The sequence below is a fragment of the Homo sapiens genome, chromosome 5 (assembly GCF_000001405.40).
Source record: "Homo sapiens chromosome 5, GRCh38.p14 Primary Assembly".
In the NCBI taxonomy this organism is placed as follows: domain Eukaryota; kingdom Metazoa; phylum Chordata; class Mammalia; order Primates; family Hominidae; genus Homo; species Homo sapiens.
Window position 1 is genome coordinate 2,751,715 of NC_000005.10, and position 12,540 is coordinate 2,764,254.

The 12,540-nt window shown below is 51.2% G+C and overlaps 1 long non-coding RNA gene across 2 annotated transcripts, besides 4 other annotated features; it reads left to right on the forward strand.

The window, feature by feature from the left end:
* Nucleotides 78–1,002: an enhancer, noted in NCBI's record as "H3K27ac-H3K4me1 hESC enhancer chr5:2751906-2752830 (GRCh37/hg19 assembly coordinates)". NCBI's record gives its function as "activates a minimal SCP1, AML or CMV promoter by ChIP-STARR-seq in naive and primed H9 embryonic stem cells {active_cell/tissue: H9 hESC(naive and primed)}" and the evidence as "EXISTENCE:reporter gene assay evidence [ECO:0000049][PMID:30033119]".
* Nucleotides 179–6,864, forward strand: IRX2-DT (IRX2 divergent transcript). 2 transcript variants are annotated; one of them, NR_122125.2, is made up of 4 exons: nucleotides 179–750; nucleotides 966–1,040; nucleotides 1,571–1,656; nucleotides 3,315–6,864. It is a non-coding gene; the product is annotated as an IRX2 divergent transcript (long non-coding RNA). The 2 variants fall into 2 exon arrangements; NR_122126.2 differs by having other exon boundaries at nucleotides 1,571–1,641.
* Nucleotides 4,890–5,842: an enhancer, noted in NCBI's record as "H3K4me1 hESC enhancer chr5:2756718-2757670 (GRCh37/hg19 assembly coordinates)". NCBI's record gives its function as "activates a minimal SCP1, AML or CMV promoter by ChIP-STARR-seq in primed H9 embryonic stem cells {active_cell/tissue: H9 hESC(primed)}" and the evidence as "EXISTENCE:reporter gene assay evidence [ECO:0000049][PMID:30033119]".
* Nucleotides 5,843–6,793: an enhancer, noted in NCBI's record as "H3K4me1 hESC enhancer chr5:2757671-2758621 (GRCh37/hg19 assembly coordinates)". NCBI's record gives its function as "activates a minimal SCP1, AML or CMV promoter by ChIP-STARR-seq in primed H9 embryonic stem cells {active_cell/tissue: H9 hESC(primed)}" and the evidence as "EXISTENCE:reporter gene assay evidence [ECO:0000049][PMID:30033119]".
* Nucleotides 8,207–8,396: a silencer, noted in NCBI's record as "fragment chr5:2760035-2760224 (GRCh37/hg19 assembly coordinates)". NCBI's record gives its function as "represses an EF-1alpha promoter that drives an FKBP-Casp9 reporter gene in an ReSE screen in phorbol 12-myristate 13-acetate-treated (for megakaryocytic differentiation) K562 erythroleukemia cells {active_cell/tissue: K562(+PMA)}" and the evidence as "EXISTENCE:reporter gene assay evidence [ECO:0000049][PMID:32094911]".

Consider the following 12,540-nt stretch of genomic DNA (forward strand, 5'->3'; position numbering starts at 1 on the left):
CATTGGAACGCGCAGCTGTCCATCACGCGCTCATCTGCATATTCGGGGGCCCGCCCCTCCCCTGCTCCGCCCGCTGCAGCCTCCGGGCCGCGGCCGGGGGAGGGGCAGAGAGACGGGAGGGAGGCGGGGGAGGGCGGAGGCGACGGAGGCGGGCGGCGGGAGGGACCGGCAGGCTTTTGTGGCGCAGCCGCCTCTCTAGCAGCTCCGGCCCCAGCCCGCGGCTCGCGGACCTGCAGCCCAGCCCGGCCGCGCTGCGTGCCCCGGCGCGCACCCCTCCCACTCCCATCCACTCGGAGCCACGTCCCCTGCCCGGCTCCGGCCGGCTCCCACCGTCCCCGGCCACCGTCTTCGCCCCTGCCCGGCCCCCGCCCCTTCCAGCCACTACCCCGCCCCCACCCCCTTCTCCACCCTCACGGACTAGGCAGAGGCCGCCCGCGGTCAGGCCAGGCCGGGTCCAATTAGGGGACTCACAGCCTGCCCCGCTGTGCACCCCGAGGAGGCCCGGCCCCTGTGTCCAATCCGGAAGTCGCAGGGAAGTGGGGAGGTCAGGATGGTGGCGCCCGCGGCTCGGGTCTTCCTCCGGGCAGTGCGCGCGGCTCTCACTTCCACGGTCCCGGACCTGCTCTGCCTCCTGGCCCGAGGCTCCCCGCGTGGCCTCGCGTCTGGTCGCCTACCCCTCGCGGTCCACTCCGCCCAGCATGGACCTGGATCCGGGGCGCCTTGGTTGCGAATTGCCAGGAGGGCCCTGAGGTGAGCTTTCTGCCCCCAAATCCGCAGCGCAACCCCCGGGGCCCTGAACGTTACGACTTTCCACTGTTGGGAATGACGCCAGGGCTTCAGCTAAGAAGACGCCGTCCCCTAAAGAGTTTTATTTTATTTTGTTTTTCTAAGTTGACTCCTCTTTCAGATTTGTGTTGTCAAAACACTGGGGGGATGATTGTTACCTGACAAACCGCCTCTGGCAGGACCTGAAGCCTCCCAGTCACGTCGAGAACGGGCAGGAGCTCAGGTTGGCGCCGCCGGTGCAGTGGGCATTACAGGTAGCTCAGGTGACGCGCGGCTGGAGTAGGGGGGCGGTTGCCTTGCGGGGCTCAGAAGCGAGGCGGTTGGCGAGGGTTCCTAGGACCCCAGCTTCCTAGAACCCTCTCCCCATCACGCTTCTCCAACCCTTTTCCACTCGGGGATGGCCGAAGAGGGCGTCTGGCTGCCCACTCCGAAGGGTCACCTATGGGGGGCGCTCAGGGGGATGGAAGAGTGTCAGGTCTGTGCTGGCCTATTGGGAGCACCCACCCAGCAGGTGCCTCTATCCTCGGAAGCCGTCTCGGGTGGGTGCGGTGGAGAAGAGAGAGCGCAGTGGCCTGGGGCGGGCCTCAGCTCAGGCCTGCAGCCGACTCCTGCACCCCTGCTGGCCCTGCAGCCTGCGGAGCAGCCTTAGTGATCTCAGGACGCAGGGCATGTTGCGGCCTCCCTGTGGTGCGGCTGCAGCGGCGCGGAGGGAGCGGAGCCCGGGTTGCCAGTCTGGTCCAGGGCGCAAGAGAAACACTCACGGCATCAGGCTGTCTTTCCCCAGGTGCAAGGGAACCAGTTGCAAACTGCAGTGCTGTGCTTGAGGATGGCTCCTCCTGAGCCGGCAGGCTCCCGGTAGGCGCGGTCCAGGCACGTTACCCCTCCCGCCAGGAGCTCCCGAGCCGAGCCACTCGCCCCCTACCAGTTATCCCACCCACCCCTTCGCCCACACTGCTCCCCCACCACTCTTCCTACAAACCACACCCCCATCCTGCACACATCCTCTTCAGGCCATCTCAACACACGCACACGCACACACACCCACGACCACCTCTCCCTCCACCCACAGACACCCCGTTCCCACAGGCTGGGCCCCCTGCAACGACCCAGCGGGGGGTTTCAACCTTGTTGCGACTCCACATGGGACATCCTAATTCAGTCCAGGACAGATATTTTTAATCAATTACTATAGAGCTGAAAAACAGAGAGAGAGAGAAAGCAGCCGGGTTGGGCAAGCCGTCGACAGTCTGCGACATTTTTGCGCTTCCTGGGAGGGAATTCCTCCAAGAAGAGGGGTAAATGAGAGGCCCACACGCTGGATGGCAAACACAAACACTGTCAGATCAGATGGCAACCTTTAGGGTTCCTTTACGATCAGATCAGTTTAAATGAAAAAAAAATCGGGTGTAATTTTTATCACCAGGGAGCACTGGCCTGGAGTATTTCCATTTCTAAAGAGCGGTTCCCGCTGTGGTTTCATTAGCATTTGGGGCTCATCCTCCCTCCCCCTCCCTTGACCCACCCCCCTCCCCCCGCCGGACCTCTGCCAGGGGCAGAAGAGAAAACAGCCAGTTATTATACAAACATCCTCAGTTTGGAGCTGGAGTGTCTGCTCTGGATACAGTCGATTCTGACATCAATTAAATATATAACCAGACACGTGCAGTGGCGGGGAGGGTCCCCTCACCCAGGGTGCATCTCCAGAAACGCCGCCTGCCCTTCCCCCTCTTTAGCTCAGTGTTGGGAGTTTGAAGATGGCCTCTTCCCGTCCTGTGTGTATTTTCCCCTTAGCAATTATACTCCTCCACTGAAATCTATATGTTCCATACCGCTGCTGCCTGTTACTAATAAAAACCGTCTACCTTGCACTATTAAACAGTCGACTCTTACTACATGCCGTTTTTATTGGTAGTGACTGTAGCAAATTAAAATGCCTACGCAGGGACATTAAAAACTTAACACTCGTCATTGTTATTGAAATATATAAACTACGTTTTGCTTTAAAGCTCTCTGATATTAAAGAAAAAAATCACATTCCTTCTTCTTAAGTTAAAGTTGGCTTGGTCTTCTTCTTAAAAAAAAAAAAAATCAATCATGAGAAAACATGCTGCCAGCGTGGAGTCTTGGCGCGGCGGTCCCGGCGAGGCTGCCTGAGAGGGTGGCGGGCTCAGCCCAGACTCCGTCTCGGGGCCACGAGGGCTGCAAGGCCGCGGCTCCCGAAGAGGAGGGCCTGGGATGTTTTGCTCAAGGGCGAGGCGGGGTGCTCAGGCCTGTGGGGTCGCTGGGGAGAGCCCGGCACTTGGCTTCTGAGGCTTTTCAGTTGCCGTCCGAGCAGGAGGGAGGGAATGAGCAGGCACGCAGGGAAAACCCAGTAACTGCTTTGCAAACGCGACCCCTGGTCACAATAACCCAGGCGATGGGGGCAGTTTCAGGTTCCTGGTGGGCCCTGCCCCCTTTCCTAGGTGTGCCCTAGGAGGTGGGGAAAAAATTAACACTGTTTCTATTTTTCTTTATTGTCCCTGCAACAGCCAAAGAATTTAGAACGAGTCTACGTGGACACGCAAGTTTCAGCGAGCGGGGATTTCCTGCGAGGCCGAGCGCGAGGAACAGCCGGCCCCGGAGGCTCGGGCTCGGGGTCTCCCCGGGGACGCGGCCGACTGAGAAGGCCGGGGCGCTCGCCGGGCGCGGCGCCGTCCTCCGTGTCGCGGGGACGGAAGGAGGCGACGCAGGCCAGGAGTCGTGCGCGCGGGCGGCGAGGGGGCGCTGTGGCCCGTGTCTGCCGGCCCGAGTCCCGGCAACGGTGGGCGCGACCCACCTCCTCCCCCGGCGGCTTAATTCGGGGAAGAAGAAAAAACGGCATCGAGGCATTTCAATAAAACCTAAGCGACTCCTGATCCTTTCTCATTGTGGTTCCTTATGAGCTTTCGGTGTCTGGCGGGGAAACAGTTACCGTTCGGGGGTGTGGCAAACTTTTTTGGCAATTAAGATGAAACAGACGCTTTTATGTGGGTTTCCTTTAATGAAGTAACATTGGAAATGTAAGTAGTTTCAGTGCATCAAATCACATCGCTACCGTATTCGCGGTCACCGGCCCTCCCGTTCCAGGGCTCCCCGCGTTTGTCGAGGGAGAGAGCGAGGCAGGAACAGGGGGCCGGGGACATGAGAAGTTTGGCTAAGAAATTTTTCTTTTCTTTGAAAACAAAAGCGTTGTTATAAATGGAACAAAATTTAAGTCAACATGGAACCCACATCTCTTTCAAACGTCGTTTCTAGGTCTAGTACTCTGTGAGTAGGTTGGACTGGATTTCACGCTCAACCGGCATTTCTAGGCTCTCAAAGACGCTTCCGAGGCCTAAATGTTTTCCTGGAAAACACGTGCAGAGGAGCATCCGTGGAAGACTGAAAGGTCCCCGCAGCTCCAGTCCTGGCAGGATGTGCAAGGCCTCTCGAGGTTTTCAAATGGGCCCCCGAGGCCTGGGAGATCCCCGAGTAGCCACGCGGGCGCCACTTCAGGGACGCGGGGCGGCGGCTACTGTGGGCCGGGAGGGCCCCCGCACGGGCTGCTCTGAGCGCCTGGACCCGGGACCCTGCGCGCGCTCTTTTCTTTTTCTTTCGTTTCTTTCTTTCTTATTTATAATTTACATTCTAGGGACCTCGTATTCAGCTAACCAGCTCTTGCTTACTTAACTGCCCTGTTTTCAGCTCCGGATTTCTGGGAGGTCTCCCCATGGCTAACTTGTCCCTCCCGGCATCCTTTAGCGCTCTGCAAAATTTGCCTTCCTCCCACAGATGCCCCGCCTCCGACGTGCTTCCTGAAGTTTCTCTCCCGCTCAGGGTGCCCACAATCCTGAATTCTCCAGCATCTCGCCGACTCCGTCTCTACCCTCCTCTCCTTCCTAATCTCGCGCTGGCTTCGCCCTTTTCTCTCTCCTCCTCCTTCCTACGCGCCCCGCCCCCTCCCCCCAGGTCGCACCTCTCCCCGCCCGGGTCGGGAGCCCCTCGTGGCCAGGCGTCCGCGCGGCTCAAGACCGAGGTCCGCCACGCTGGGCCGCTCGTGGGCGGCTCTCACCCGGCATACCGTGGAAACGGCGCGTCCCGCCAGCTGCGGCTCCAGCCTGGGAGGGAGCGCAGCGCGGGGAGCCTGCAGCGTCTGGAGAGTGAGGAAAAGGGACATTCCTTGGAAATGGACAGAGCCGAGTTCCTTAAAGGGATCGCAGTTGAAAGAGACCCTCTTCAAAATCAGCAACGACCTGGCAGCCTTAGTTCCTCAACAGGAGATGGTTCGAAGATGAAATGTTTGAAACTCCGCCGCCGTTTCACCTTTGCACACACGCGCACGGCAGGCCCAGATCCGCACAGAGACGCAGACACGCGCGCGCTCGCGCTTCCCGGAGAGGTCGGCGCGTCTCGCTGAAGCTGTTCTGGTCAAGTGGAGTTGTCAGGGCTTTGTTTTGTTTTTGTTTTGTCTTTTAAATGTGTTTTACAAGACAGTCTTCAGCAGAACTTAGCTCCCTCAACCCTCCGTCCCTCCAGCAGCTCCTCCGTGGCTCTGCAATCTTCTGTTTAAACACCAGAGCGCACCTCGGTGCTGGCCTCGGCGGGGGTGCGGGGTGCGGGTCGCGGGGTGTGCGGTCACCCAGGAGGCTGCGAAGAGTGCAGGGGTCAGCTCCATCCCGACGAAAGCAGATAGGACTCCTCGCTCGCAAGAAACACTGGAGAAAAGAAAATAATTCCTCGAGTGTTTTTACAATTATTTTAATCCAACCAGCGAGGCTCTAAAGAGCGTTTGTCTTGAGGCCGTGTTGAATACCCTTTGCCAACTGTAAATTCGGCGTGTGTGCCCGAAACTGCTAGCCCTGACCAGGGGCTCGGCAGCACATGGCCAGGCACACACCGAACTCCTCCTTCCCAAATCCTTCTGCAGGATCCTACACCCCTGGAGTATATAGGCAGCGGGAGGGGAGGGTTGGGTTTTGCTTTCTTTGCTTTTTATTTTTATTTTTTAATATGGCTGGGAATGCAGAAATTTTAAAAATGGATACATTTGAGTGTGTTAAAAGTAAAAACTTCTCTTGGACAAAACATAAACTGCTAACCGCAACGGGGGAGAAGATATTTGCCGCACATGTAAATAACAGAGACTGTTCTACAGCACCAGGAGGAATTCTGACTGCCAATGGGTGAAGACGAGGCACCCAGGGAAATAAAGGGGCAGGGATGGGGCAGCCCTCCACGCAGAGGAGACGCCTGAGAATGCGCACATTCACTGGTTGTCTATCTCTAGACAACAGCAGATGCCTCTTCACACCAATCGATGGCACCCAGAAAGGCCTAGGATGTGCCCTGTTCAAACTCTCCCTGCGGTGCAGCTTAAATTTCTATAGAGAAATTCGGGAGACATTTGGCCGCATCTGAAAGCGCAGAAGGTGCGTGCTCCCTGGCACCCAGCACACAGGTGTTGGGGAAGCGGGGACGAGGCAGCCCTGGAGCATGGTTTGCAGGAGTGCAAGACTGCAAGCCTCCTCCACGGCCACCACTCCAGGCCTGGATAAAGAATTCGTGGCATATTTCAGGGAACAGAATGTCCCCTGGGGCGAAAGGGGATGAAGTCATTCTACTTGTACCAACTTGAGTGCCTCCTAAAAGTGTAACCTTGGGGGCGGGGATACAGAAGGATGATGCTGACAATGGAATTTAAAAACAAACAGCAACATTTTGTGGTGTCTACAGGCGTGGGGGTGGAGGAGCTGCAGCGTCACCATGGGAACAAAAGTCTCCCACGCATCTCAGGCCCGAGGAATCTTTAAAGAGGGAGAGTGGGCATGGGAGGAGGACTTAAGCTATTAGTCATATTTTATTTCGAAAACTAGATCTTAAGTAACTGTAGCAAAATGTTAACAATTCTTACCTTGGAATACCGGTTACATGGGATTATGTTACTCTATTTTTTCATCATGTGAAATATTTTATATTTTGACAATTAAAACTAAATAGTAGCTTTTTATAAAAGTGGCATATGCACTGAAGTATAATGTGCTAATTTGGGATTCGTTTAAATAAAACAGCTTTCTTAGAATATTTTATTTTTAATGTCTCTTTTCTCGTCTCAATTCCCCCACCTCTAAAAAATCCAAGCATGTCTTGGAATTGCCATTTAGCCTTAAAGGGAATTCCACTTGCACGTATGTCTTTGTGCCCCTGTCCTGAGCATCCTGTGGAGGCTGTCCCAGCCCTGGCCCTCCCTCCACTTCCTCTCCAAGCCCAGGGCCTGGTTCCCACTTTGCTCATGGTGGTGCATGAGAGGAAGGGGTGCACTCTGGAGGCAAAGGACAAGCCTGGGTGTGCTGGGCACAGTGTGGCTGCATGCCATCACCCGCATGCGTCTACGGGAAAAGACATGCTTCTACATGCCATTTGACATTTTCTCATTCCAGAGTGTTTGTGGTATAAAGAATATAGCCTGGAAAGGAAAAGGGCAGTCGGAGGCAGAGGGGAAGGCTGGCCTTCAGTGCTCGGCTGGACTCCAGGTTCCTAGCAGGTCCTTTCCCCTTCCACATCCCCTCTCATTCTCAGCGTAGAACACAGGGCCTTTCTGGCCAGTATGCTCCTTCCAGAAACAACCAGTTCTGCCTAGTTCTCTTCACTGTGGCCAGAAGAAGCTGGATCTTTGCAAATACAAATCTGCTGAGAGCCCCAGCACAGTGGGAGGCCATCGGGGGTGGCCTTGGTCAGTAGTTAGAAGGTGATGTGTTTGGATGTGTGTTCCCTCCAAATCTCATGCTGACATGTGGCCTCCAGTATTAGAGACAGGCCTCATGGGAGGTGTCGAGGTCATGGATGCAGAGTGGCCTCCAGTATTAGAGGTGGACCTCATGGGAGGTGTCGAGGCCATGGATGCAAAGTCCTCATGAACTGCTTGGCACAGTAATGAGTGGTCATGAGTTCACAGGAGAACTGAGACTCCCTCTTCTCTCTCTTGTTCCCACTGTTGCCCTGTGACATGCCTGATCCCCCATTGCCTTCTGCTGTGATTGGAAACTTCTGGAGGCCTTGCCAGAAGCAGACGCCGGCACCACACTTCCTGTACAGCCTGAAAACCAAGAACCAAAATAAACATTTTTTCTTGTTAAATTACCAGTCTCAGGTATTCCTTTATAGCAATGCAAACGAACTGAGACACGAGGTCTGCATATTTGATTCTATTCCTCGCTGTGCTTGGAACTAGGCAGGGAGGAGGGTACTGCTTCCTGGAAAGTGACACAAATCCAGCCCTCCCTCTGCTGACATGCCTGACCACCCTGTGGAGCTGCTTCGGCCTGTGGACTCCAGCCCTGGTCAGTAGTTAGAAGGTGATGTGTTTGCAGCCCTTGTCTCTCTGCCTGCAGCCAGGCTCCCCGCCAGGCCGGGGCTCTCCAGGTGGCTTCCTCCTGTAAACTTCGCATTTATTTCTCCCTTTGGAGGTCAGCAGAGGCCCAGGAGGCTCCCAAAGCTCTGCGGCAGCAGCTGCCAGGGCTGCAGGTTCCTGTTGGGATGGTTCTCTGGCCTCAGCCCAACCCCTGACTCCATGCCTGGCATGTTGGGGGCACTAGACAAACATTGATTAAATGAACGTATATGAGAAAGAATGAATGACTCACTCTTGGTTTTTCATCTTTATTTCTAAAAGGCATGGCGGGGTGATGAAGGAGATAAACAAGAATGACAGGAACACTTGCTCACAGGCCCCCTGCCCCACCAAGAGCCGTCACTAGACCTGACCCGGGTGAACCACCCAGGCTCCACCCAGATCATTTGATGGCACTCTTCAGTGGCACAGGCTCCCAAGAACAAAGCAAGAACAGTTTTGCAAGTTAAATTTTAGGGTTCGGTAAATAGATATGTACATTTAAAATAATATTTAGTTAGTAAAATAAATTCTTACATTAACAATCAACCCAAAACCATGTGTTCCTTAAGAAAAGCAGACACGTATTTTTATCGTTCTATTCCAAAGGACCTCCACAGCTCCCAGCACACAGTGGGTGCTCAATATAGCTAGTTGAGGGAATGAATGAATGCATGTTGAAGTCTGGGGAAAAAGAAAGTTTAATAAAAGCAAACTAAACTTTAATGATATTTTCAGTAAAAAAACAAACAAAAAGAGTTATAGATATCTTATTTTAAAAGCAAATTAGATCCTAGCAAGGCTTTGTAGACATAGACAAGTTTATTCTAAAATATATATGGAAAGACATGAGCCTTAGAATAGCTAAAACAATTTGAAAAAGAAGAATAAAGTGGGAGAAATCAGCATACCCAATTTCAAGATATTTATATGGCTATAGTAATCAAAATAGAGTGATGTTGGTGGATGGATAGGCCTTGATCAATGGAACAGAACAGAAAACCCAGAAATAGACACAAACAAATATGCTCCATTTATTTTTGACAAAGGCACAAAACAATTCAATGTTTCAACTTTGTTGAAAAGTTCGCCTTTTCAACAAATGGAGCTGGAGCAATTAGACACCCATTAAGGAAAAAAAAAGTTCACTTTATGTAAAAATTAACCAAAAATGAATCACAGACTTAAATGGAAAATGGAAAATTATAAAATTTGAGAATAATAGGATAAGGTCTTCAAGACCTAGGGCTTGGCAGAGTTTTCAGATCAGATATCTAAAGCACAATACATAAAAGCAAAATCTTGATTAGCTGGACTTCACCAAATGTAAAACTTTTGTTTGTGAAAGACCCTTAAGATAACAAAAAGATGTATTAGAGACGGAGAGAAAATATTTGCAAACCACATATCTGATTAAGGACTCATATTTACAATATACATAGAAACACAATAGTAAAACAGAGACAAAAACAAAAACAAAAACAGAAACACAAACCAATTAGAATTTAGGGGGAAAAACACAAACACATTTTCTGTTTTTCAAAGAAAAAATACAGATGGTAAAAAACAAAAAGCACATACAATGATTTTAACCTCTTTAATCTTCAAGGAAATGCAAATTAAAACCACAGTGAGATCTATATATCTATCAGAGTAGCAAAAATCTAAAAATAGTAGCAATACCTACTACCGCAAAAAGGCAGAGAAACAGATCACTCATACATTGTTGGTGGGAATATAAAATCTTACATCCATTCTGGAAAACAGTCTGGAAGTTTTTTATAAAACTGGAGATGCATCTACCATACAATCCAGCAATTGCCTTCATGGGTGCTGGTCCCAGAGACTCATATGTTTCACACAGAAGCCTATATATCAACAGTCACAGCAGCTTTATTTGTAACAGGCAAAAACCAGAATCAGCCCAGATGTCCTGCGCAGGCTTTAGGCAGGGAGTAAAATAGTTTGATTTACTTTTTAAAAGAAGATTCGTTGAGATATAATTAACATACCGGAAAACTTATCTATTTTAAGTGTACAGTTCAATGATGTTTGGTATATTTAAAGAGTAGTGCAACCTTCACAGCAATCTAATTTTAGAAATTTCTGTCTTCCCAAAATGAAACCCTGTATGCTTTGGAAGTCTTGCATCTGGCCTCCTCTGCTGAGGATACTGTTTCTGAGTTTCGCTGCTAGTGGCTTTCTTCACAATAGCTGGAGAGTGAAGAGTGTCTGTCTGCTGAAGGATGACTAAGCAGAGTGTGGTTTATCCGCACAGGGGAACAGCCCTGAGCAACCACGGGGGAGGGCTTTGTTGTTTGTAGAAGGAGACTAGACCCTGTTATAGGCAGATGGAGGGGAGGCAGCAGGAGGCTGGGCCCATCCTCCCAGCTCTGAGCTGGAAAGAAGGGAAGGAAGGAGGAAGGGAGGAAGGAGAAAGGGAGGAGAGAGAAAAAAGAGGAAGAAGGAAAAAGGAAGGAATAAAAAAGAGAAAAATTGAAGGAAGAAAGAGGGAAGGAAGGAAGGGAGGGAGGAAAGGAAGAAAAGGAGGAAAAGGAAGGCGAGAAAGGAAGAAAGGAAAAGGAAGAAAAAAAAGAGGGAGACACAGCAGCTACCACAGTGTTTAGAAAGCTCTTTATATGCCTACGTAAGAAATTACGTGTATACAAATATATATTTTTCTAAGTAATATATACATTTAGAAAAATGTTAAAATGGATAAGTAGTTCTAAGATGCTTAGTACAATGTGTAATTTCCTGCCCTGCCATCTGCAGCTTCAAGTCCTGCTTTTTAGAGGCAGCGTTTGCAGTTATTCTGACGTTATTTTTTAGCATTCACTCTCATATTATAAAGTAATAATCTTACACTTCTTTGTTGACCTTATCTATGCCTGAAATTAATTAATTAATTAATTATTGGCTTCCCATTTTGGAAGGTGAGGGCTAAGGGGAGTGACTCAAGGCTGAAGTGGCATTGTCACCATGAGGACCCTCAGCCCCAGGATGTACCCTGTCGCTTCTCAGAGTTCCCCAGTGGCCCCTGGAGAGCAGTTGCACCTGTAGCCCTGGGTGGCAATCCGGCCAGCACACGTGGACGGCGGCGGGTGGTTATGCCTCCGTTCACCCAGAGCAGTCCCTCCACTTTTGTTTTTCAAATTCTCCCAAGTACATCGAGAGGCATCCAGCCCAGTGTTCTGGCTTTGTCTTGCTTCCTCTTTCAGGAGTGTTATGGTCAATGAGAAGTCGAGGCCCCTCAGCCTCTGGGGGAGCACAGCAAGCCAGGCGGCCACCCCAGGAGGCCCTGACACAGGTGCTGCATTTGCCACCCCATTGCCACCCGTGGCTCCACTGCATACCTGTGGGTGACTTTGCTCCCCACAACCACCCTGCCCTGCATCCTTTGCTGGACATTCTTTGCGGTGTTTAGGAACATTCTAAATCTCTTTATGGAATGCATCATCAAGAGCAGTGAAACTTTAGAGAACTGTTTTTGCTCCAGCCACTGCAGTGCCCACATCCCACTGCTAACACTGGACTGTACTTGCAGAAGAGTGCTCTCTGAAATTGCCAACAACCTCTCCTAGTCTTTTGCTGAATGGTCCCAGCATCTGCTCAGGAGACACAGGACTGATCTGCTCAGGATCCTTAGGCAGTGTCCCCTCTCCTGGCCTCCTCTCCAGAGACGGCAACACCAGGCCGGAGGCAAGGGACAACCTCAGCCTCCTGTTAACACCAGCTGGGGCTTGCTCCTGTACATGCATGGGTCCCAGGCTAAAGGGGAGCTCCGGGAGACCTCTGTCCTCCTGGCGTGCAGTGAGGCCTCCAGTGTTTCTATTAGAGTATATTGTTTTTACTTTAGTTGGAACATATACTTGAGTTTTGTTTAATTTGTGTCCAAATTGTTACTCTGTTGACACAGAGACCTCACCGAAAGTTCTCTTTGATAGTATCCTCTTTGCTGTGTACAGTCTTTAGGCCTGCCTGTGAGTCTACATGCACTTGTGTGTGTGTACACGAGTACATGCTGGTGTGCAGGGCAGGCTGTGTGTGACTGCACACATGTGTGTATGTGTGGGGTACATGTGCGCTTGACTTTTCTAGAATGTCCAGATGTGCGGGTCTCTGGGGACAGGCCTCAGAGAGGTTGCCCACAGCTATCACGGCTACTAATAGGTGGTATAATATCGTCATTTCCATTTGATTGCAGGACCTGTTTTTATTTTGTTTTTTGGGGGCTGAGCAACAATCTGACTCATTCATTTTCCTTTGAGTGAGAATCTGACAATGTAAGAAAGCATGTTTTTTAAAAACAAGTTCTATCATAAGTGTATCCGTAAAATGGTCTTAATTGATCCAAATCATAATAAGGA